The 24,150-nt window shown below is 36.6% G+C and overlaps 1 protein-coding gene across 1 annotated transcript in view; it reads right to left on the reverse strand.

Annotated features, from left to right (window-relative positions):
• Positions 1 to 23,739, reverse strand: part of EIF3E (eukaryotic translation initiation factor 3 subunit E) — a 47,502-nt gene extending 23,763 nt beyond the window's left edge. The window contains exons 1-7 of the mRNA NM_001568.3: positions 23,635 to 23,739; positions 16,821 to 16,935; positions 14,980 to 15,097; positions 11,183 to 11,225; positions 10,020 to 10,124; positions 4,092 to 4,217; positions 3,289 to 3,413 (exon numbers count right to left, since the gene is read on the reverse strand). Of these exons, the coding sequence (NP_001559.1) occupies positions 3,289 to 3,413; positions 4,092 to 4,217; positions 10,020 to 10,124; positions 11,183 to 11,225; positions 14,980 to 15,097; positions 16,821 to 16,935; positions 23,635 to 23,724 (722 nt within the window). The 5' untranslated portion in view covers positions 23,725 to 23,739. The remainder of the gene's footprint in view (positions 1 to 3,288; positions 3,414 to 4,091; positions 4,218 to 10,019; positions 10,125 to 11,182; positions 11,226 to 14,979; positions 15,098 to 16,820; positions 16,936 to 23,634) is intronic.
• Positions 23,740 to 24,150: the final 411 nt, after the last annotated feature.

A 24,150-nucleotide genomic window follows, 5' to 3' on the forward strand; every position in this document is an offset into this window, starting at 1 on the left:
ACTAATCTTTCTAGTCTTCTGTATGACTAAATGGTAAGTATTCATAAAGTGCTTCTGCTGTATACACACTTCACTGTCACGGCTGTCCTTAAGGAAAAGCACTTGTGCAACTGAGAAACAAGATGAACCAGCTGCTTTTCTCACAGAACACTGTTTTTACTTGAAAGAATGGCAGACAAACTAAAGCTATTCAGACATTCAGACTTGGGAATTTGCCAGACATTTTCTAGAAAATGAAGTGAGCCTGTCCTTCAAGAAAAACAAATGATAAAATTAGAGCTTTCAAGAAAAACTAGAATTTTGGAAAATTTGTATCAGCCACTGGGAGCTTGAAAGCTTTCCAATGCTTAAACCCGTTTCTATGGGTCTGGTAGTGATGTTCATGAATGTGGTTTTTCTGGTGTTGTATAATGTCAACACACTGGAATACCTGCATAACTCACTGGACCAGTAAGTATTTCCCAAACAACCAATGAATGATACTATAAAATCATGCATGGGTAAAAAAGATCCATTCCAAGTGCAAGATAGCTCAATACAGTCTAGAATACCAGTACAGCTTAGGATCCCAAAAAGTTTAACCACATGGTTTCAGATTCTACATTACAAACAACCTTTTAAAAACTATTTCTTGTTGAGTTTTATTTTATCTGTACTTCTTACTGAATTTTACTGTATCTTCAAAAAAGAATATTCACAATTATCGGAAAAGGATATTATTAATAAAACACACCTTTCTTTTCCAACTACATGTGTGAAGCTAGGTTTTTCATCCTACAGTTAAAGCACATCACAACAGACTGCAAGAAAGCAGGCATGAAAACCCAGTTGTCAATTAACCCAGCAACTGAAGGTCTGCAAAAATGTAAAGCAATGTCACTCTTCTCACTAATTTTGTTTTCAAAGTTACTTTCGTTAAAATTCTATTATGTGTTAAATTGAATCAATTTACCATTTATTAATGAGAAAATTTTTAATTTGTTTTGATTTTTAATACAGTTAAGTCCTTAACATAATCGGTACCTTCTTGGAAACTACGACTTTAAAACCAAGTAACATTCTTTCATTATGAAGCTGTTGAGAAAGAAAATTGTTTCATTATTCATTGTTTTGCTTAGAGATGCAGTTTCCAAGAACCTAGAGACAATATTGAGGACTTACTGTATACACCAAGAGATAAAACCAATGCAAAGAAAATTACATTCAATAATTCTTTTTTTTTTTTTTTTTTTGAGACGGAGCTTCACTCTTGTTGCCTAGGCTGGAGTGCAATGGTGTGATCTAGGCTCACTGCAACCTCCACCTCCCAAACTCAAGCAATTCACCTTCCTCAGCCTTCTGAGTAGCTGGGATTACAGGTGCCTACCACCACGTGGGGCTAATTTTTTGTATTTTTAGTAGAGATGGAGTTTCACCACGTTGACCATGGCTGGTCTCGAACTCCTGACCTCAGGTGATCCACCCACCTCGGCCTTCCAAAGTGCTGAAATTACAGGCGTAAGCCACTGCGCCCGGCCTACATTCAATAATTCTTAACAGTGTAAACGGGTTCCAAGACCAAAATGTTTAAGAAGCACTGGCTGGTAAAAATACTCCCAAATATAATTTTAATATCATTTTTCTCTTCCTTCCAAATATCCAATGGCTTTTCAGTGTATATCTATCTAACTTTAATGTTTGAGGAGGAAGGCTTTACTGGATGTTCAAATAAGGGATTTTTTGCCCCACAAAGTTAGGATATATTCCCATATGCACACACTTTTTAAATACTGACCAATACATTCATCAGGACCCATAATCCTGTTAATGGAATCATTTAAAAACAAAGCAAAACCCCCCATGATTCCTCCCTCAGTTAACTGATCTGATAATGCCACACAGGGTATTTCAGATTTTGGAGGATATCAGCCAAGTATATAGTATTTCCTAATGATTTAGAATTCTTATTATTTCATTTGTCATATGAAACCATTTTCATTTCTACAAGATAAAATGTAATGAAACTATAAAATCTTCATTTAGATGAACAAATAGTAAAAGTATGAACTAAGACTGTTAATGTAGGGCTGGGCCCAGTGGCTCATGCCTGTAATCTCAGCACTTTGGGAGGCTGAGGTAGGAGAACTGCTTGAGCTCAGGAGTTTGAGACCAGCCTGCACAACACGGTGAAACCCTGTCTTACAAAAAATAGAAAAATTAGCCAGGCATGGTGGCATGTGCCTGTAGTCCCAGCTACTTGGGAGGCTGACGGGGGAGGATGGCTTGAGCCTGGGAGGTAGAGGCTGCAGTCAGGCAAGATAATGCCGCTGCACTCCAGTCTGGGCAACACAGCCAGACATTATCTAAAAAAAAAAGTGTTATTGTAAAATTTGCCCAATAATATAGTCAATACAATATAACTCATACCATGAAGCAACTGCTAAAATTGCTACTGCAATCTTAGGCTATATTAGTAAAAGCATACATACAAGTAACATGAGCTAATATTGCCACTGTAATCTATAAAGTTTAGATGACAATCCTAGAATAAAATTTCAATTATGAACATCTAGATTGTAAGAATATGAATAGAAATTATCTAAAAAGGCAATCAAAATACTAAAGGGTCTGAAAAACTGTGTTACTTAATAAAACTAGAGATATTTAGCCTGAAGGAAGCAGAGAGGAGTAAAAAATTATCTTAAAACATCTAAAGAGTTTCCATGAAGCAGTCTTGTTTTCTGTCATTCCAAACAAACAAGAAATAATGGGCAGAAGTTTCAGAGGTATTTGAGTTCCACTGGAAGAGTAAATTTTACAAATAATTTCTAGCTTACAAAAGAATGGTCTAGTTCATAAGCAGTGAATTTCTCATCACCAAAATATTAAACAAAAGCTAGTTGACAGAGCAAAGATGATATAAAAAGATGCACGTATTCCTTTCAAGTAGTATGCCCTAGAGCCTCATTTCTAAAGCTTTGATGTTTACATGAGTTACCTGGGATCTTATTAAAATGCAGATTCTAATTTAGTTCTAGGGTGAGTCCTGAGATTCTATATGATTTCTATGCTGCTGGCCCAGGGACCACACTTTAAATAGCACTTTAAAAGGCTTAGGGTACACTCTGTCAAATAGTTTACTTAAGAGTCACATGCATACTTTTCAGTAACAAGCAAATCTACTACATGAAGAAAAAAAAAAACAGGTGACAACAAATTCAAATGATAGAAAAAAGTATATTTTAAGTTTAAACAACTCCATGTAATTTTATCTAAACAAAGCCAAAATTACACAGTGAAATAACTTACTGTGGCTGATAAAGGAAGAGGTCAATAATATTATCGCGACCTTTGGGGTGATTGAAGAAAACAAACAGAGACCAGTGAATGAGCCATGTTCTCTGCTGAAGAGACTGAAGTGGAGAACTCACAGACTAAAGGATTTAAAAATATATACATAAAAAATATTAATATATAAGAAAGAGGCAGGAGGACAAACATCACTAACTTCAAAACTGTAATTAAAAATGAGCCCCTTCTAAGGCATGCACGGAGGTCATTATGATCAATGTCCGACCCCCTATGCCTTCTCTCTACATGATCCCTCGACATTCCAAATTATTACCCTGTTCTTAGAGACAGATTCAATAATGTCTACTGAAGACGCTCTAATTTATAAACTCTTACAGAAGTTATAAATTATAATCATTTCAGAAAACATTTTAAAAGCAAGAATTAAACTGAACATTTCATAGTAAGTGGTTTAATTAGATAATTGTAGATGAAAACTGTCTTCTGCATAGGACTTTCAATAATAGGTGGCACTAACAGCATAGTGTCATTTTGACTGGCATAGAAAAAAAGGGCACAGTAGCTGTAAAACAGAAATGAAGGCTACGTTTTTTCTCTAAGAGCCAAAAGAAGTCTGACAATTTCATTCAAGGAGATTCAAACTAGTCAAGCCACTAATCCACTATGATTTTTGTAAGGTCAACAAAAGCTAATATGAATTTTTTTTTTTAATTCCCAAAATGCATAGTGATTTTCCTCATCAGAAAGTGTGAAGGATACACAGATATTTCAGAGAATAACTGTGAAAAAGTCGAACTCACATTATTATCTATGGTCTCTTTTAACCGTGTAAGGTCTTCCATGGCTGCATCCCAATTCTGCATTAAGATTTCAGAGGCCAGCTTTCCCCAGAGTGAACTTAAAGCATTTCTATCTGTTGCTGGAACCTGTTTAAGAAATCATAATTAATTATATTGTGAATACTCTTGAAAAATGAACATAATGTATGTTTTATACCCATGTATCCCTCTAGCCTACTAAAAGACCTATAGCTTTCTACAAAAAACTGTAATTATCTAAGTCCTTATTGGATCACACTGGTTTGTTTCAAAAAACCTTTGCTAAAAATACTCAGGTCTTCAATAATCAGTCTAGATAAGAAAATAAAAAATAACTTTTATAACTAGGAAACAGCAGCATCATCTTACTATAACCCACTTCAGATAATTTATACATAACTAATCAAATTTCAGGCACCTAAAACTTCAGAAACCAAGTTAGATTTACATGTAATTTGTCACTAAAATCACTAGGATGAAGATGTGGAAAATCAAGACACGTGAGTCTCATTTACAATGTAATGAGAAATTATGTACAGAACCAAAAAATATTTCCAAATTATGACACAAATGGAAGTCAGTACGGAGAGAGGGAGACAGGAAAAAAGCAGGCCCACTGATTAACAATTAATAGTTATCAAAGGATTATGTACTGAGCAATACAAGTTAGTGTTCTCCTGTAATCCTAACAAAAACCCTATATTTTTTTATCCCCATTTCAAAATGGGAACTAATACATATAGAGTGTAACTTGCCCCAAATTACACTTCTAATCATGAAACCTATAAATTTTACACCACAGTCTTAACCTAAAAAAAGAGGGGACTAAGGGCCATCCCTACCTCTTCTATCCGCTGGTAAAAGAGTCACAAACTCAAAACATCCATAATGACCAGGCTAATAACAATGAGCAAAGCTGGACTCCCTCAAAACAAAGCAGCAGAAGTAGGTAAACTGACTCTGAACCGATCAGATGTGCTAAAGCAATAGAAGCAAGTAAGGGCAGTAGAGGGGGAAGAATACATGTCTACACCTCAAGATGAAATTTCAAATTTAATTTTTTACAGAAGCACTTTTACATAATAGTATAAATATCAAGAGATATCATAATTACAAGTTAAATTATATGTGCAGGATCAGAAATCCAATCAAGAATTCTGTCTCTACCACTTAACAGCTAGTTTGTACTTTAGCTTCCTCACTGCAACATGGGGATAGAACCCACCTCAGTTGTATAGTTTAAGTGACATAAGACATACAGGGATTACAATTATCACCTGATACAGAATAAGAACTTGGTAAATCTGAGTTACTGAAATGATGATGAAAATCATCGCAGAGATAGGTATACAGATTTACATATATTTACATATACATTTACATACGTAAATTTATATTTATCTATATGTAAATGTGTATACATATTTACAGATATATGATCTAAACATTGGGGACCACAATACAAACTCAGTCTATACTGAGATTCTTCCTTTCAAATGTACTAAATAACATTTGGCACACTAAGAGCAGGCAAATAACACAGGGAGTAGATGTGTAAATTAAATTTTGAACCACTCCTGGTTCTAGTTATTATCACAAAGTATATCCACAATACAACTTGTACATGCATATTCATACTAACTTTATTTTTAATAGGCAAAAACGAAAAGTAATCTAAATGTTCATCATCAATAGATGAATATATTAAACAGACCATGGTAAATTCACAGAATGAAATACTACTGAGCAATAAATAGAAACTAACTTCTGATACACACAATAACATGAACCTCAAAAACTTGCTGGTAAAAATAAGCCAAACACAAACATACATAGTACATCATTCCACTTACATACATAAAATTCTAGAACAGGCAAAACTAATCTACAGGGACAGAAAGCAGGTCAATGGATGCCCAGGACCATGGGTGGAGTATGGCCACAAAAGAACAAAAAGGGTCTTTCTGAGGTGACAGAAATGTTCTTTATCTTGACTTAATGTAGCCACACAAGTACACAAATGTTTCAAAATTCATTGAAAATTTAAAAACTGGTTTATCAAAATCCATAAAATAATTGTTCTAATTACAAAGGATAAAATGTTTAATTCTTATAAAGGATATCTGAATATAAAAATATATCATCGAGTCAAAAATGCCATCAATTTTAACATACATTATTATTTTATGTTTCTAAAACCAAAAACCCAGTAAAGACACTTTCTGATTTCAGATGTTAAAATATGCAAAACTATGCTTGAAGATCAATATTAAATGCACAATTCTTACAGTGACATCACAACAGGATACAACAGAGCCAGAATTTCAATCAAGATCCTAATGCCTCTAAAAATTATCATTACTCATACTGTCTTGAGCCTCAAGGAAAAATATTTTTAAATGAAGTGGTATATACAAACAGGAAATACATTTTACATCCTGAGGGAGGGAAAGAGACAGCTCCAAAAGTATAACAAATAGTCCTAGGAACTAAAATCACTTTTATTTCAAAGAGCTGCTGAATAAGGGAATGGGGTATATTATGGAGCCAGATCAAAGGCCACAATGAGGGAAAATTTTAACAAAATAATCAATAGTGCTAATAACTGTTAAAGCAAAAGTGTTCAAAAATTCCCACCAAACCAGCTTCGTCATTTTATTTCAATTAACACATTTCTTGGAGTATAAATCAAAGAAGTTTCACACCAAACAGAGTGTACCTGAACAATTCTCAATGTATTCTAAAATCCACGAGTCTTTTCTTTTTTTTTTTAAGGGCAGATTCTAGGGTCACACAGCTTTAATTTATACAACACTGACCTACAATAGGTCATTTGGAGAGTCAAATTCTAATCTCAGATCATAGTTACAATAGCTCTTTCATAGCTTATGTTTCCCTAACCACAGATTTAAAAGAATAATCAACCACCAGAAAAGTATTTAGAAATAAAAAAAGGCCACTGCAAAAAATAAAATTAATTAACTAAAAAGTAAAACACTGACATTTCTCATCCCAAATCCAAACAAGATTTTTAGATTTGCTATTAACAAAACTTCAAACAAATACACAGATCTTGTGGTAGTGGCTATCTAAATCAAAAGAAAAAGATATCTATTCTTTTAAGCTTGGCACTGTTAGCCTGCCAATATGCCAACAGGAAGCAACAAACTCTCGCCTAACACAAATGTTTTGTGGCTCAGACAGGACAAAAATTTTAAAACGAATTGAATGTAACTTTTTAGAATTTCCAGTAACTCTATGTTGACTGTTCTTGATGTAAAACATATTAACTTAGTGTTTGTATCACAGTATTCAATCACTTAATCAAAATATCATTTGAGTTCCAGCACAAGATTTGTTAGGGGCAATGCAAAAGTTTAAAACTAACCCTCAAATTTTTTTAAGACCGGGAATTAACTTGTATCGTCATATTTTAAAAAAATAAACATAAAAATTCACCAAACCTACAAGTACAAACCTGTCACTTGTAGAAATTTTCAGACTAATATAAAACCATACTACATAAATATAATACTATTAACACTAGAATGTGTTATATGTGTTAGAATAAAAGCTTTTTGTAGCAGTGTAGCAAGTTTTTTAATCCTCAAAAGGTTCATGTGTACTACTCTGGCTAAACTCCATGTCATTACAGTTGGCTCTTCATACTAACCTGCTTTCAAGGGTGGATATGCTAGAAGAGTTTCAATATCTGGATTTCCAGCAGTTACCTTAAGTTTCCATGTCTTAGCAAAATGGCACATTCACTCACTGACCAGCAACAATAAATTTACTGTGCTGGAACTCTAACATGACACTAAATCTTCATTCTCAAAATTCACTCCCAGCATTAACAAATGATATAAATAACCAACTCTTTTCATGTACCTGTAATCATACCAGGCTTCTGATTTTACAATCCGGGTTTAAGCTGTTTACATTTCCAAAGTAATCAACTTTTGCTCTCCTAAATCCCTCGTAATATTCAAAGTAAAACTGATGGAATTTTTTGATAAGTTACTACAAGTTTAGCATCACTGATTACCTTCAATGCACTTGCAAGTGAACCACAGCTAATCTGTAAATTAAGAATTCATCTACAAATGGAAGCAAGAAAGAAAAAAAGTTGTTTTTCTTAAGCAAAGTTGGAAATAAACAGAAAATCTTTTTCTTTAAAGGACGGTGGAGTTTCAAAAAGTGAAGTTGTCTATGCAATTTAAGTGTAGAAATTACCTGAATCAGTAATACTAATCTCTCCCTCCCCACAAAATGAAAATTTTAATTTCCTAGAAAATAACCACAGACAGCAGCCATGAGACTTTATTTTGCAACATGTGGAGCTACAAGTGAAGAAAAAAGCACCAGAAAGTAAAGGCAAAAAGAAACAAACTCTTCCAAGGTTGGAAGACAAAAAGTCTCTGTTTTAAGGTCTTTTTCCAACTTCTAGGATTAACTAGAGAAATCTTAGACAGGCAGGGTGCAGAGGCTCATGGCTGTAAATCCCAAAGCATTGAAAGGCTGAGGAGGGAGGATCACTTCAGGCCAGGAGTTTGAGATCAGCCTGGGCAACATAGCAAGACTCCATCTTGGAAAAAAAAAAATTAAAAATTAGCCATGAGTGGTGATGCACACTTGTAGTCCTAGCTATTCAGGAGGCAAGAGAATCTCTTGAGCGCAAGAGTTCAAGGCTGCAGTGAGCTATGATGGCACCACTGCACTCTTACCTGGGTGAGAGCAAGACCCTGTCTCAAAAAAAAAAAAAAAAAAAAAAAAAAGAAATCTTAGACTTTAAGTACCTACTTACTAGTCCAAGGTAACAAATTATAATTTCTCAAATGAGAGGCTAGTTAATACAAGGATGTTTTGATAACTGTAGAAGGCACTTAATACACTTTCCTAAACAGAAGACAGAGTGAGAACGAAGTACATCAATTTGAAGGCCTGATATATATTTATTTATTTATTGATGGAGTCTTGTTCTGTCACCCAGGCTGCAGTGCAGTGGCACCATCTCGGCTCACTGCAACCTCCACCTCCCAGATTCAAGGGATTCTCCTGCCTCAGCCTCCCAAGTAGCTGGGATTACAGGTGCGTGCCACCATGCCCAGCTAATTTTTGTATTTTTAGTAGAGACAGGGTTTCAACATGTTGACCAGGCTGGTTTCAAACTCCAGACCTCAGGTGATCAGCCCGCCTCAGCCTCCCAAAGTGCTGTGATTACAGGTGTGAGCCACCGCACTTGGCCAAGGCCTGATTTTTAATTTGGCTTCACACAACTCTCCTTCTCTAACAAAAGCACTAAATCTAGAAGCCTGTCAAATATACGGTAATAGGATACTTCATGGTTAATAGTACCATTTAAACTCATCTATACCCCACGTAATGAAGAAACCATTGATATTTATATTCCAATAGCTGAAGGCAGAGGTAACTGGAAAAAAGTTACTACTAAGGCATAAAATATTTCACATACCGTTAGGATTCCACAGTTGTTTAGAGCCAAGTTCAAGGAGTATATATATATATGATAAAGTATTAAATCAGGAATAATGGATTTACTCAACAATATTAATTAAGCACCTACAATGTGCCACTCACTGTGCTGTATAATATTATAATAATAAATCCATTACATGATACGATTCTGTTAATGCTAAAAATCATAAAATTGTTCCTACTTTTGGATTTCAAGGACAAGTTAAATCACCCTCCAAATTTTGAGGCCCTGAAACAAGGTTTCTAGTTTCTGTTTTTGAGTGGGAGGGTTTTCTTTACTTTTTTCTCTTTTGCCAATGACTGTTGAAAACTTAATGAACAGACCCAAATCTATCTATATACATGTTTTGAAGAACCAAGGGAATCCTACAAAAGACAAAAAAAAAAAAAAAAAAAACATGTACTTATACTTACCAGCACTCTAAAAAAATAAAGATATTCTGCTGCTCCTGAGTAATTCCCACATTCGTACTGGAATTTTGCATATCTGTAGAGTGTATCTAAATATTCCTGCCTAAACTAAAAAGAAAAAAAAAAGATTAAGTTCTCTTTAATTTAGAGTTTTAAAACCCCATTGTAATTCATAAGTCTTTGAGGTCAAAACTATGAATGTTTAAGTCACCAACTTCTAATGTATATTTTATGAGTCAAATGTATCTCTGATTATGGTATTTATTTTTGGTGGCAGCTTTTGGGAGACTTTTATAGAACTGACCTCTGGAGTTATTTAAAGAAGTAAACTAATGGGGGCTGGGGTCGGGGAGGTGGTTTCAGGATGAACTGTTCCACCTCAGATCATCAAGGCACTAGCTGGATTCGCATAAGGAGCGTGCAACCTAGATCCCTTGCATGAGCAGTTCACAATAGGGTTCGTGCTCCTATGAAAATCTAATGCCTCCACTGATCTGACAGGAGGCAAAGCTCACATGGTAATGCTTGCTCACCTTCTGATCATCTGCTCTGTGGCCCTCCGGTACTGGTCCATGACCTGGGAGTTGGGGACTCCTTAAATAATTAATTATATGCAAAGCCTCATGCTTTGAGTTAACACAAGGGAAATAAGATTGAGTGACGGTTAGGAAAGCTTACGATGTTTCTTTATTTGTGAATCTGGGGACTTATAAAGACCTTGATAATTTCAAAGGCTATTGTGTTCCACAAGGCAGCCAAAGTACTACCTAATTCTACTGCTCAAAGCATTTCTAATTCAAATTTAATTCTGTTTGCCTTACTCGTTAATCCATAAGAAAAGGCATCCTATGCCCTATAATATATAATACTTAGCTTGCTATTGGCACTAATATAAAATGCCAACAATTACTGCCAACTATTACAACTCTGGAATAAATACAAGCTTTGAGAATTTCTGTCATCTAAAGGTGAGCTATAAGCACATATTTTCCTGTCAGCAACAATTTATAAACACTGAAGTTTTAAAAATATAACCAGATTTTATAATTAATAAATTAATCTGGAAATTATATTCTTAGGCCAAGCCATAAGCTCATCTGTACAAACCAGTCTTTAGTCAGCATTATTAAAACATGACAACTTTAAAATATTTTTAAAACACTTACACCATGCTTGTCCGCCAGGTAGTCAAAGAGCATCCTACCATCCCTAAATAATAAAAAACAAAAATTACATTATTTTAAAGGCCACAGAAAACAAAATAAGCATATCCAACTTCTAAGTTATTACCTACGCAAAGTCACCTTAAATAAATACTTAAATGTTAAAAGACTTCCAGAATAAAATAAGCAGGACATTACATGTTTTGAATATAAGAAGTATACAAGGAGAGCTACAAACTTTAAAATTGACTTTCAGATTTCTTTAGCCCTAACTGAAAATTAGTGTGTTTCACCACAACTAAGGTAAGGCCTTTAACAGTTTGTCAGACAATAAAACCAGAAGATTCTGACTATTTCTAGTAAGGTCAGTAGTCTACTTAGTGGTAATCTACTGAGAATGGTTTTTGCTCTATGTGGTCAAATTTCTAATAGATAATATAGTCTAATTATAGAGACTGAAATAAATGTACCATGTACAAACTAGAAGAAACTAATCCTATATATAAATGTCCCCTCCTCCAATCTGTTAATATTTTTCAAAAGGACGATTTGACAAATTTACAAGATTAATAAATCATGCCTGGCCGGCCGCAGTGACTGATACCTGTAATCCCAGCACTTTGGGAGGCCGAGGCAGGTGGATCTCCTGAGGTCAGGAGTTCAAGACCAGCCTGGCAAACATGGTGAGACCCAGTCTCTACTAAAAATACAAAAATTAGCCAGGCATGGTGGCGGGTGCCTGTAATCCCAGCTACTTGGGAGGCTGAGGCAGGAGAATCGCTTGAACCTGGGAGGTGGAGGTTGCAGTGAACAGAGATGGCACCACTGCACTCCAGCCTGGGCGACAGAGTGAGACTCTGTCTCAAAAAAAAATAATAAATAAAAATTTAAAAATCATGTCCGATATACATGACAGCTATGCTACATACCCTACACAATCCTTAGGTATAACCAAGTGCCATATTTAATTTTTCTTAAATTAGCTTTGCATTATCTTGAGATGTTGACAGACTAGTAAAAGACAAACTAATAATAAAGAAAGACATCAAGGGACAGGGGATATATGTGTATAGTTGCCCACCTTATGAGCATTTTTGTTGTTACTGTTTTTTGAGACGGAGTCTCACTCTGTCACTCCGGATGGAGTTCACTGGTGTAATCTCGGCTCACTGCCACCTCCGCCTCCCGGGTTCATGCAATCCTCCTGCCTCAGCCTCCCAAGTAGCTGGGATTACAAGCGTGCACCACCATGCCCAGCTAATTTTTGTATTTTTAGTAGAGATGAGGTTTCACCACGCTGGCCGGGCTGGTCTCATACTCCTGACCTCAAGTGATCCACCCACCTTGGCCTCCCAAAGTGCTGGGATTACAGGCATGAGCTACTGCACCTGACTGCATTTTCCAAAACAAAAACATTTTCTTATCCTTCTCATGAGAAGAAATATGCTATAATGTGTCTTTGGGAACACAATTTTGCTTGAAGATTTAATGGAGCAGAGATATGTCCCCATAAAAATTAATATAGGTGTATTACAATACTGATTATGAAATGTACATGAAATTCCAACATAGAAGAACTTCAACAAAAACTGAACATTTGCAGTGGATCACACTGAATAACTTTGTATTGCACTACTCATACCACTCACGTATATAATCACTGTCCTCTGGCTGATTATTTCCGGGAAAGTGTAAGTACGATACTATATATTCAATGAAATTTAAAAAGGGTGAATTGTCAGAAAAAGGTTTTTACATTGAAAATAGGTAGTCTGTAAGTATAAGATTACAAGTTTTTAACACATGATCCTTTCATTTATCTCAAACTCAGTACCTATTAAGCTACAAGGATCCTCTTTTTCTAACTGGTGAACACATGTACATTCATCTTATTCATGCTCTGATCCCATTACTTCCCAGTCTTTGAGTGACTAAACTACAGCATCCTAAATTTTCTGTTGTAGTCTAACATCTGGATTATTTCCGCTGTCCCTTTGTAATCACCTACATGTGACCTGAAGATCTAAAATTACTTCTTCTAAAAGCATAAAAGTAGTTTAGTATAATATATAGCTCTGTCTATGCGCATGATGTGTGTATATATCTCTGTGTGTTTTCCCGCATATAGTCATCCCTTGGTATCCCCAGAGCATTAGTTCCAAGACCTTGCCTACCCCCTACTCACGAGCCCCCTCAAATACCAAAATCTGCAGGTGCTAAAGTCCCTTATGTAAAATAGCACAGTATTTGCATGTAAATTATACACATCCTCCCATCCACTTTAAATCATCTCTAGATTACTTACACTTAATGCAATGTAAATATCATATAGTTGTTAGTTGTTACACTGTAGTTTTATTTGTATTTTTTATTGTAGTATTGTTATTTTTTAGTTTCTTTCCCTGAATATTTTCAATCTGCAGTTGGCTGAATCCACAGATGCAGAACAGAGAGCTAACTGCATTTGTATGTAGTATATGTCACAGTATGGTATGGTATAGTATAGTATAGTACGCTATAGTATGGCACAGTAATTGTATATTTGTTGCTTTTCTAAAAATATCTGGTAACACCTTCACAAATCACAAAGGAAAACTTAAGAGCCAATCTCTAAAAATTTGGTTTAAATACATAGAAATCAAAGGTATAGCACGGCAAAATATCCAGCAATTCCTCAAGTGAATTTACTGGTAGCTAGGATTTATCTCAAATGACAATATTCAATTTTAGTAAGAGATTTTATTTTTAAATGTTTCTAGTAACCCAAAAGACTTCCACCCGTGACATGTACTACGTCAGACTAAGGCAATATGTTTTCTTTGGAAACGAAACAGTAACGTCTATTTGTAGGTAAAGGGAAGTTAGGAATAAAATAATCTTATCAGCTCAAAACTACCCTCCTTGGGCATGGAGCTTGGAAGGGTATGAAAGAATGTAGCCAGGGATAAAGTGAGCTCAGGTTTCTCTTATAACGAGATACCCATGTGTTCTAAGGTTCTAGGTATTGCCCAAGCACAGGGTTTCTTTTTTATTTTTTCCTGAGATGGTGTCTCATTATGTCACCTACTTTGGAATGCAGTGGTATTATGACACTGACTCATTGCAACCTCCGCCTCCCGGGCTCAAGCCATCCTCTGACCTCAGCCTCCCAAGTAGCAAGTAAGCTGAGACTACAAGCGCACACCACCACACCTGGCTAACTTTTTATTGGTTTTAATTTTTTGGTAAGATAGAGGGTTTCGCCATGTTGCCCAGGCTGGTCTCAAACTCCTAGGCTCAACGGATTCACTTGCCTCCACCTCCCCAAGTGCTGAGATTACAGGTGTGAGCCACCACACAGTGGAACAGGGTTTCTTAATGGACATTTTCAGTCGGATAATTCTTTGTTGGGGAGTAGCGGCAGCAGTGCTTGTCCTATGCACTGTAGGATGTTTAACAGCATAACTGGCCTCTACTCACTAGGTCCCTATAGCACCCCTCCAGTTATGACAACCAAAAAGTATTTCCAGACATTGCCAAATGTCCCCAGGAAGGGGGAAACAGGAGATGGAATTTCTGTAGTATAATCAGTATAGATAAGTACTAAAGAAGTTTTTTTTAGGAAAAAAACTTAGTGTTAATATTAACATTTATTAATTATACTGGCCCCTACAAAATAAGGATAAACAAAAATTAAAAATGAATAAAGCACTCATTTAAACCATGAACTTTTACTATGGGATACTGGATAAAGTTTGAATTAACATTTGTATTAATCCAGAAAGGAGAATTTTTAGAATTCAAAATTAAGACGAGTTTACCTGGTTGACTGCATTTGCCTTGTAGTTTCTGGATCTTCAAACATCTTCACAATTGGTTCTGTTTCTGCCTGAAGCTGTTTCAGTTGTGCAACCACTGTGGTTCTTTTCTCTCTCAAAGCTAATTAAAAATGCAGAAGAGCACTACAATGTTAAGGAATGTTAAATTGTGCTACTCATCATGAGAATGTCTGGAAATTTTTCAGTGTATTTAAACTATACATATATTTATTTACCCCCAATATATTCATATGCCATGGGCTACTCAGTCAGAAATGTCCCCGATCCCTAATTTCTTTTTTCTACTAATACAAAGGCACAAAAAGGAAAAGGGAATCCTCTTCCTACTCTTGAGGGAAACTAGAGAATATACAGCCTTGGGGTGACAGAGGGATGTGAAAGAAAAAAAGGGTAGGACCCAATTATCTATCATTTAATTCTCCATTGCAGAAACTTCTTTCCAAGTGTTTTTATATTTGTTCTCATTTAATTTTCTTAGGTGAATATTATCCCAGAGTTTTTGAAGAAAAACTCAGAGGGATTTACATATTACTATTACAGGTTATCAACTAGGTTGAATGGAATTTAAATCCATTAAATAATCTCTTTTAACCACAAATCCAGCTCTATAATCTCTCAAACCAAATTCTATCGTTCCTTTTACTATACTATGAAAAGGTGGAGAAAACTTGCACATAACCAACTCTGGTAACACCTTAATGTTTCATTAAGAAACTAAGAAATAGGCCAGGGGCAAGGGCGCACGCCTGTAACCCCAGCAACTTGGGAGGCCAAGGCGGGCTGATCACGAGGTCAGGAGTTCAAGACCAGCCTGGCCAATATGGTGAAACCCCGTCTCTACTAAAAATACAAAAATTAGCTGGGCATGGTGGTGGGCACCTGTAGTCCCAGCTACTCGGGAGGCTGAGGCAGGAGAATGGCGTGAACCCGGGAGGCGGAGCTTACAGTGAGCCGAGATCGCACCACTGCACTCCAGCCCGGGCAACACAGCGAGACTCCATCTCAAAAAAAAAAAGAAAGAAACTAAGAAATAGTTTCCTTTTTGTTTATCCATGACAAACTAAAAAAGAGATACTGTTATTGCAGGGAACTACAAGTCAAACATGTGGATTATGTTTAATGTAATAATGTCTGTATTATATATTAGAAAGTATATTCTAGAGCAGTCTTTCTGAAACACAGAAGATCTATGATCAAATTTTGAGAAATGCCAATTTAATCACAGTATACTGTATTTCTCTACTGCCAAAATTCTTGGAACCTTTAAAAATGTAATGTGCATTGAAGAAATGACACAGAATTATTTCCCAAACTTAAGAGGACCACTTAACAGTTTTGATTAAGTAGGTCTGGTGTGTGGCCAAAAACCTGCATTTCTAACAAGCTCTCCCAGGTGAACTGATGATGCTGGTCCTGGGGACCATATTTGGAGAACAATGTCTACACTAGATGCCTCAAAATTAAAAAAAAAAACACAAAACTCTAAGGCACACAATGCACTAACTGAAAAAGTTAGCAACCCAAGAACTGCAACATTCTCAGATAATTCTAAGGAATGTGAATCATAAGCACAACTTTGATGATACATACTATGAAATGAAGGCATCTGATGACCATATTTTAAAGTAGTTCCACATCTTTCACAGGGAGAAAACAATATATTTCGGAAGATATGAAACCTTTATATAACCTCTCACCCAAAGAACATTAACATTCAAATCATATTTAAGCCTTTTGGCTAAAGCTGTCTTATAAATCATAAAACTTTAATACACACATCCTCAAGTCACAAGACAAGTTTCAGTTCTAATGACAAAACTTACCATGAGGAATATCATCAGAATAAAGGTTTTTGTATACATCCATAGCAAAGTCTACCATGTTGGTATCACTAAGAAGGTCCAATTTACCTTGTAATAATTCCTTTTCATTATATATCTGCAAAAGAAGATAACTTTCTAATGAATATATTTAAGTTCCCCAAATAAACTGATTAATACTAAAACTAATTTACCTGGAAATATATTTCAAGAAATACTTTATAAAATACGATAAACCATTAACATTCCCCTCTTGTAATAATGGCAAGCAATATGGCAAGCAACCAACCTATAGACGTAAAAGTATTTTACTTACCTAAAAATTTTAAAATGAAGAGAATTACTGTAGACATTCCCACCTACTTCTGATTTACATGACCTTATTTTTTATGTGTCCCTACAAACCATCTCTTACCCTTTCTAGGCAAGGCTGTGTATAAATAAAACCCACGCCATCTTTCCTGTAAAGCACATATAGCTGTCACTTCTCCACATCCAGGTAATCAGTAATAAACTCCTATATGCTTCTCCATCCACATTGCTGAAACAACCTGCACCAAGTTTTTAAGTCAACCATGTCAGATCAGGCTTTTGCTTTGCAAAGGATCCAAAAAAGCATAATTTAACCTATAGTACAGGGAGCAAATAGATACATATACACAAACTCACAACAACATGAAGTGTACTGAGTAATATGTAAAGATTCTACAAAATATTCACGGACAGAAATGCTTCAGCAAAAGAAAAGATTTCTGTACTGAACTTAATTTTGCAAGGAAAGAAAAATCCAAGAAAATGCCACAATATTTCACTGCCCACAAAAAATAAAGATGAAGGTGGTCAAAGGGTATTTAGCCATGAGAGCAAAATCGAACCTTCCAAATTACATGCAGAACTCCTATAAATGAGTAAGACAAGACAGACCTTGCAATTGAAATGGCTAAAAGATAGGCACTTCGCAAAAGAAGACAACCAAATGGCCAACAGACACATGAAAAGGTTCTCAACGTCATTAATCATAAGGAAATGCATACTAAAAATTACAATAAAAACCTAAAAAATCCTGACAATACCAGTGTTGGTGTGGATGTAGACTAACTGGAACCTATTCTCTTCTGGCAGGAATACAACTACTTTGTAAGATTTTTATCTCCCAAAGCCAAACATACTTTTTGATCCAGCAATTGTTTCGAGGCATCCAAAACAAATGGGTGCATATAGTCAAAGTGCACTTCCAAAAATGTACACAGGAGCACTATTTGTAATAGCCAAGTCTATCAATGTTAAAATGAGAAAACAAACCACAGCATACTCATAATAGATTAACATTCGGCACTGAAAAATCAATGAACTACTACTGCTATCCTAAAAACATGATGACTCACAAACAATGCTGAGTGAAAGATGTCATACAAAGCAGTACATGGTGGTAAATGCTTAACTCCACCTATATAAAAATCAAAAACAGGCAAAATGAATCATCAGACTACAGCTTACCTTTAGGGGGTGTGAGTAGTGACTAACAGGGGTCAAGATGAAGGTTTAAGGATGTCGCCAGGCGCAGTGGCTCACGCCTGTAATCCCAGCACTTTGGGAGGCCGAGGCAGGCGGATCACGAGGTCAGGAGATCGAGACCATCCTGGCTAACACGGTGAAACCCTGTCTCTACTAAAAATACAAAAAATTAGCCGGGCGTGGTGGTGGGCGCCTGTAGTCCCAGCTACTCGGGAGGCTGAGGCAGGAGAATGACGTGAACCCAGGAGGTGGAACTTGCAGTGAGCCGAGATTGCGCCACTGCACTCCAGCCTGGGCCACAGAGCAAGACTCTGTCTCAAAAAAAAAGAAAAAAAAAAAAAAAAAAAAAAGGATGTCTGTAATGTTTTATTTATTAATCTGAGTGGTGGTCACATAAATGTATTCGCTATTCATTTTGAAAAAAATATGTATCATTGACCAGTACATTTATATTTGTGTACTTGTATGAATGAACGTCATATCTGATAAAAAATTTACCTAAAAAACCTTAACTTCTCATCACTTTGCCCTATAGAAACACTAATCTTAAATAAAAACATTCTTTTCCAAGCACGCTACCTCTCCCCACTCCACTAGTAACTTTTAATTTGCCACGTCTCTCTCCACAATAGATTCAATAGCCTTGCTCCTCTACCATCAGGTGTTACTGTCCTGTTCTCAAATCTACATATGCCTCTCAATTCTGCCTCATAAGCAGAAAGCAAATACTTCAGACTTTGTATCAAGAAGCAACAATTGAAAATACTATATAAGTACTCACATGAAAAACGAGAATCAAATTTCCACAATTTTTTAAAAATTTTGAAACAGAAATAATAACAGTAAAAGTTTTTGTAATACAGGTCTATTAATAAGAATAGAATGCTTTTTCAAGAGAAATTATTTCACTTAATTGGGGTATAAAGTTAATATTCTATAATTGCTAATGTTTGCAAATGTTCCTCTGTTACAAACTATTCTTAGCCCCAAAACCACACAAAAACAGGCTGCTATCTGATTCCCAGGCTATAGTCTGCTGATCCGTCGTCTATCAACCTCTTGAAAACATATTACTTTTTAACAGATTAAGAATCTTTTTTTGCTGTCTCTTCCTCTGCTGTCATTCAACACAAATATAATGCCATACTGATGACTCTTTAAAAGCTTGAGCCCTAAAATTCCTTTATTCCTCAAATTATGACAATTTTCATCATGTATCTCATCTCCAAGAATTCCAACTTAAAACTGATAACCCCTCATCTCCAAGAATTCCAACTTAAAACTGATAACCCCTTCCACCATTACCATTAAAATCTTCATCATCTCAGACTTTCTGCCCTTTCTAATTTTTGTAATACCCTTTTTGATGTCACTTTCTGCCTTAGTTTGGATATCATTTTTAGCTATTTCAAAGATTTTCTCTTCAGTTCTATCATTGATTCTTTCAAACTAATTTCTCCAACTATATACAATTCAGTGTCAATCACTAACTCTGGAAAAAAAGTCACCTATTCTCTAGGTTCTGGCTAAGGATGACTACAAAATGTTTCAAAATTAGGGAATAATGTTATTCGATCACATCTGTGCTTCTCTAAATGGCATTTACATACAAGCCTACCCCTAAATATGTCTATACTACTCCCATAGCCTTCTACCGCTCCTCGCCCTGAGAATGACCCCATTATTAGCTCTAAGGTATGATTTCCAATCTCAGTTGGGCCCTCCACACTTAACCAATCCTTGTACTTTCCTTTGATCAGTTTCTTAGTAACCATTTCCAGTCCTTACCTTACTCCTCAAAACCCTCACTGCCCCCCCCTCCCATCCCATACCAATACAGAATGGGCTAGTCTTCCAAAATAAAAAACATTTAGAGCCAAGGGTGGTGGCTCATGTCTGTAATCCCAGCACTTTGCGAGGCCAAGGTGGCAGATCACTTGAGTTCAGGAGTTTGAGACCAGCCTGGGTAACATGGTGAAACCCCATCTCTACAAAAAATACAAAAAAAATCAGCCGGACATGGTGGCGCACACCTGTAGTCCCAGCTACTTCTGGGGCTGAGGTGGGAGAATTGCTTGAGCCCAGAAAGTCAGGGCTGTAATGAGCTAAGATTGTGCCACTGCACTCCAGCTTAGGTGACAAAGCGAGACCCTGTCTCAAAACACAAAACATTAAGGAGTACTCACTCTGTCCCAGAAGAGCGTAGTGTTTTATATGCATTATCTCATGTAATTTTTCTAACCCGATGAGATTGGTGGTAGTATTAACATTTTATTCATGAGAAAAGGTTAAGAGGGTAAAAGAATCTGCTCTGACTGCACAGAGGTATTAAATGACCGAGTCATGAAAGGTCCAATTCAGAGCCCAGGGTCCTAAATATTTCACTATCTGGCCTTCTGCTTCACATGAAAATAAAGAAGAGTGAGAAACAAGTATGTATTCATTCAATCATTTATTAAACAATCATAAAAAGCCTTTATGCCAGACTCATATTATGTGCTGAGAGCACAAGGAAGCTTCTGCTCTCATGAAGCTTATATTCTCCAATGTACTACAAATATATGAAACTGTTTTTCTCTTGGTGCAATGTAATAGTCTCCCCTTATCCATGAGCTAAATGTTCCAAGACCCCCCAGCGGCTGCTGCCTGAAACTGCAGATAGCCCCAATCCTATATTTACTGTTTTTTTCCTATACATGCATACCTATGATAAAGTTTAATTTATAAACTGGGAACAAGAGATGAACAATAACAAAATAGAACAATTAAGTTAGCATATACAGTGTGGATACATTGGACAAAAGGATGATTCATGTCCCAGTTTTAAGCAAGAGAGCGAGACAGATTTCATCCTACTACCCAGAAGGGCGAACAATTTAAAACTTACGAATTGCTAATTTCTGGAATTTTCCATTTAATATTTTTGGACCATGAGTAACTGGAACTGCAGAAATTGAAACTGCTAAGGGGGTGTGGGGGGGGGGGGCTGCTGTATCCTCACATAGCAGGATCACTGACTCTATTCTAACCATTTTGCCTTCAAGACTCAAAGCCTCACCTCCTCAAAGTCCTCTTTGCTCACTGAAGATAACAAAATCTCAATTTTGATAGCACTCTACCAGTACCTACCTCTTCGACATTTATTTTTACCTTATATCAAAAACATTCAACTCTAAAGGATAGGTAAGTTGTTTAGTGGTGAGATGTCTGGGTTTTATCTTGGATTTCTCAGTTATATGGCCCTATACAATTAACCCTTGGACGACAAGGGTTTGAACCACACAGGTCCACGTATACACAACTTTTTTTCAATAAAAGTTACACCAAGTGTGCCTGCCTTTCCTGACTTCCCATCCACTTCCTCTACTTCTTCCACCTCTGCTACCCCTGAAACAGCAAGACCAACCCCTCCTTTTACTCCTCCTCCTCAGCCTACTCAATATGAAGACAATGAAGACCTTCATGATGATGTACTTCCACTTACTAAAAAGTAAATGTATTTTCTCTTCCTTATAATTTAAGACCATTTTATTTTCTCTAGCTTACTTTATTGTAATAATACAGTATAGAACACATACAACACAGGACTGTCCATGTTCTCAGTAAGCCTTCCTGTCAGCATTAGGATATATTAAGTTTTGGGGGAGTCAAAACTTATAACGGATTTTTGACTGCGAGAGCTCAGCGTTCCTAACCCCTGTACTGTCCAAGAGTCAAATGTACTTAGAAATTGCTAATTAAATACTCCAGCATCTGTCTTCCTCTTGGTGTATTACAGCTATCTTACCAACATTTTCTCCAAAGAGGTGGGTATTGGGCAGTTTTTCCCACTGATTCTCAACTGCCTGCAGTTCATAGTTTTCGTCTAGCCCTATGAAAATCTAATTCACATTTACATATTCCTCCTTTCCTTCTGTGTGCCATAAAAAAAATGAAATTATAAAGAACACAAAAATATATAAAGTTCAGCTAGTTCAGAAGTACTTCTACAAGCAGCTGGTAAAGGCTTTCAAAATATAGCATTTTTACTAGATCTTTTGTCCTCACTTTTCCAGAAAAGAAAACAATGCAGATGCGAATGTTTTACTCAAGGTCTAAAATACAGGTGTAAAAAGAAGAATCAAAGCAAAAATATATCAAGAGAAAGTTTTACATGACAAGACATTCTTGGACATTTACTGAAAATGATCTTAGCCGTTACCTAACGTCAACAACTTTAGAGTTGTCTATGTTTAGAAAAGGTGCATATGAATATGAGGATTATACCTGTCTAACGAGCCACAACACCTGGACGCTGGTTTTTGGGACGTTTTTGTTTTATTGCTTTTTGTCTTTTGCTACACAAAATCCACTCCCCAAATCTAGAGTTCCCTAAGTAGACTTATATTGTAGTCTGCTTCCAGAAACAGAACTCACTTATTTTTCTGAAAAAATTCGAATTCCTTCATCACTGCAAATTACTTTGCATTATTAAAATGCATCAATTTCCCAATAAACTCACGGTATAACTAATGTCAATTTTCTTTTAGCCAAAACTTTCAAGTCCAATAAAACTTTTAGGACTGACATATGCTTTAAAATGAAGTTCCAGAATTACACATTTATTCATGATATCTTGAGTAGATAATTGAATATTAACGACCAATTCAAACCACATGAAGTCAGTACAATATATCCACTGGAAAACACATTTAAAGATTGGAGGGATTTTTTCTGGGGGGGGGGGCGGGGGAGCGCCGTCCCCATCTGACGAAATATGCTGTTCTAGAAAGTCCTACTTAACCAAGACAAGAAAACGCAAAGAACTCACAACTTCATGGAAATTAAAGCGCTAGATACTTATTTTAAGTGTAAGAGAATCACTCCAAAAGACTCGACATGCAAAAACCCACAGCCAAGCCCAGGCTTCCCACAGTTCCCAAAAGAAAAATCAAAAGCTCTAACAGCACTCCAGGTTGCTTTTACAAGCCAGCCTGTGAAGCTCTAACGTTCTCTAGCGAAACCAGCGAATCGCCAACTTCCGAGAAGAAATGATGCGAAAATCCCTCCCGCACTGACACCTCAGTAAGTGAAAGAGACTTCTTTTCTCTCTCCGTAACCTCCCTCCTCCTCACTGCCGAATAGTGCGGTGCTTCTTAACTGAGACGACGCTAAACTACCAGAAGATCCTTAGTGTCCGTCCAGGAACCAAACTCGCGACCGCCTCGCACGTGTCAGGCCTAGGACTACAGACACCACCTTTCGGCCTTGCTCAGCACCTCATCCGCCCCCACGCCTTCCTTGCGCCCAAAGACCCCCTCACCTCCTTTACAGAGAGAAATTCAAGAAGCGGAAAGACTAGATGCCGATCCAAAAAGTGCGCGATGCGAGTAGTCAAGTCGTACTCCGCCATCTTGCCAAAGAAAAGGGAGTCTGTGCTCACTAAAACTTTATTGGTAGCGCCGACAAACGAACAGACAGATCCTGTACTGCGCATGTGCTGTGGTAAAACTGGCCTAAAGAAAGGGGCGGGGTTTACCCTGGAGAGCAGAGGACAACGACGCATGCGCGCGGGTTGTCCCACCCTTTGCGTTAGGGCGCGAGTGACGGAAACAGATCCCTCTATTTGTAGGTTTGTCGGTATCCTCTTTCTAATGCTGGCCTTCGATTACCAGTCAGTGGCTTGCAGTCTATTCCGTTAATAACTATTGAAAGCTCAGAATTGATTGCTGAGGCAATGTGACTGCATTGGGATGCGGCAAAGGACAACATGAGGAGGCCCCTGCTTTCCAGGAAGTTACATACAGGGAAGAATATCTAGGCTTTTTCATTTGGCATA

This window comes from Homo sapiens, chromosome 8 (genome assembly GCF_000001405.40).
Source record: "Homo sapiens chromosome 8, GRCh38.p14 Primary Assembly".
Taxonomy (NCBI): Eukaryota; Metazoa; Chordata; class Mammalia; order Primates; family Hominidae; genus Homo; species Homo sapiens.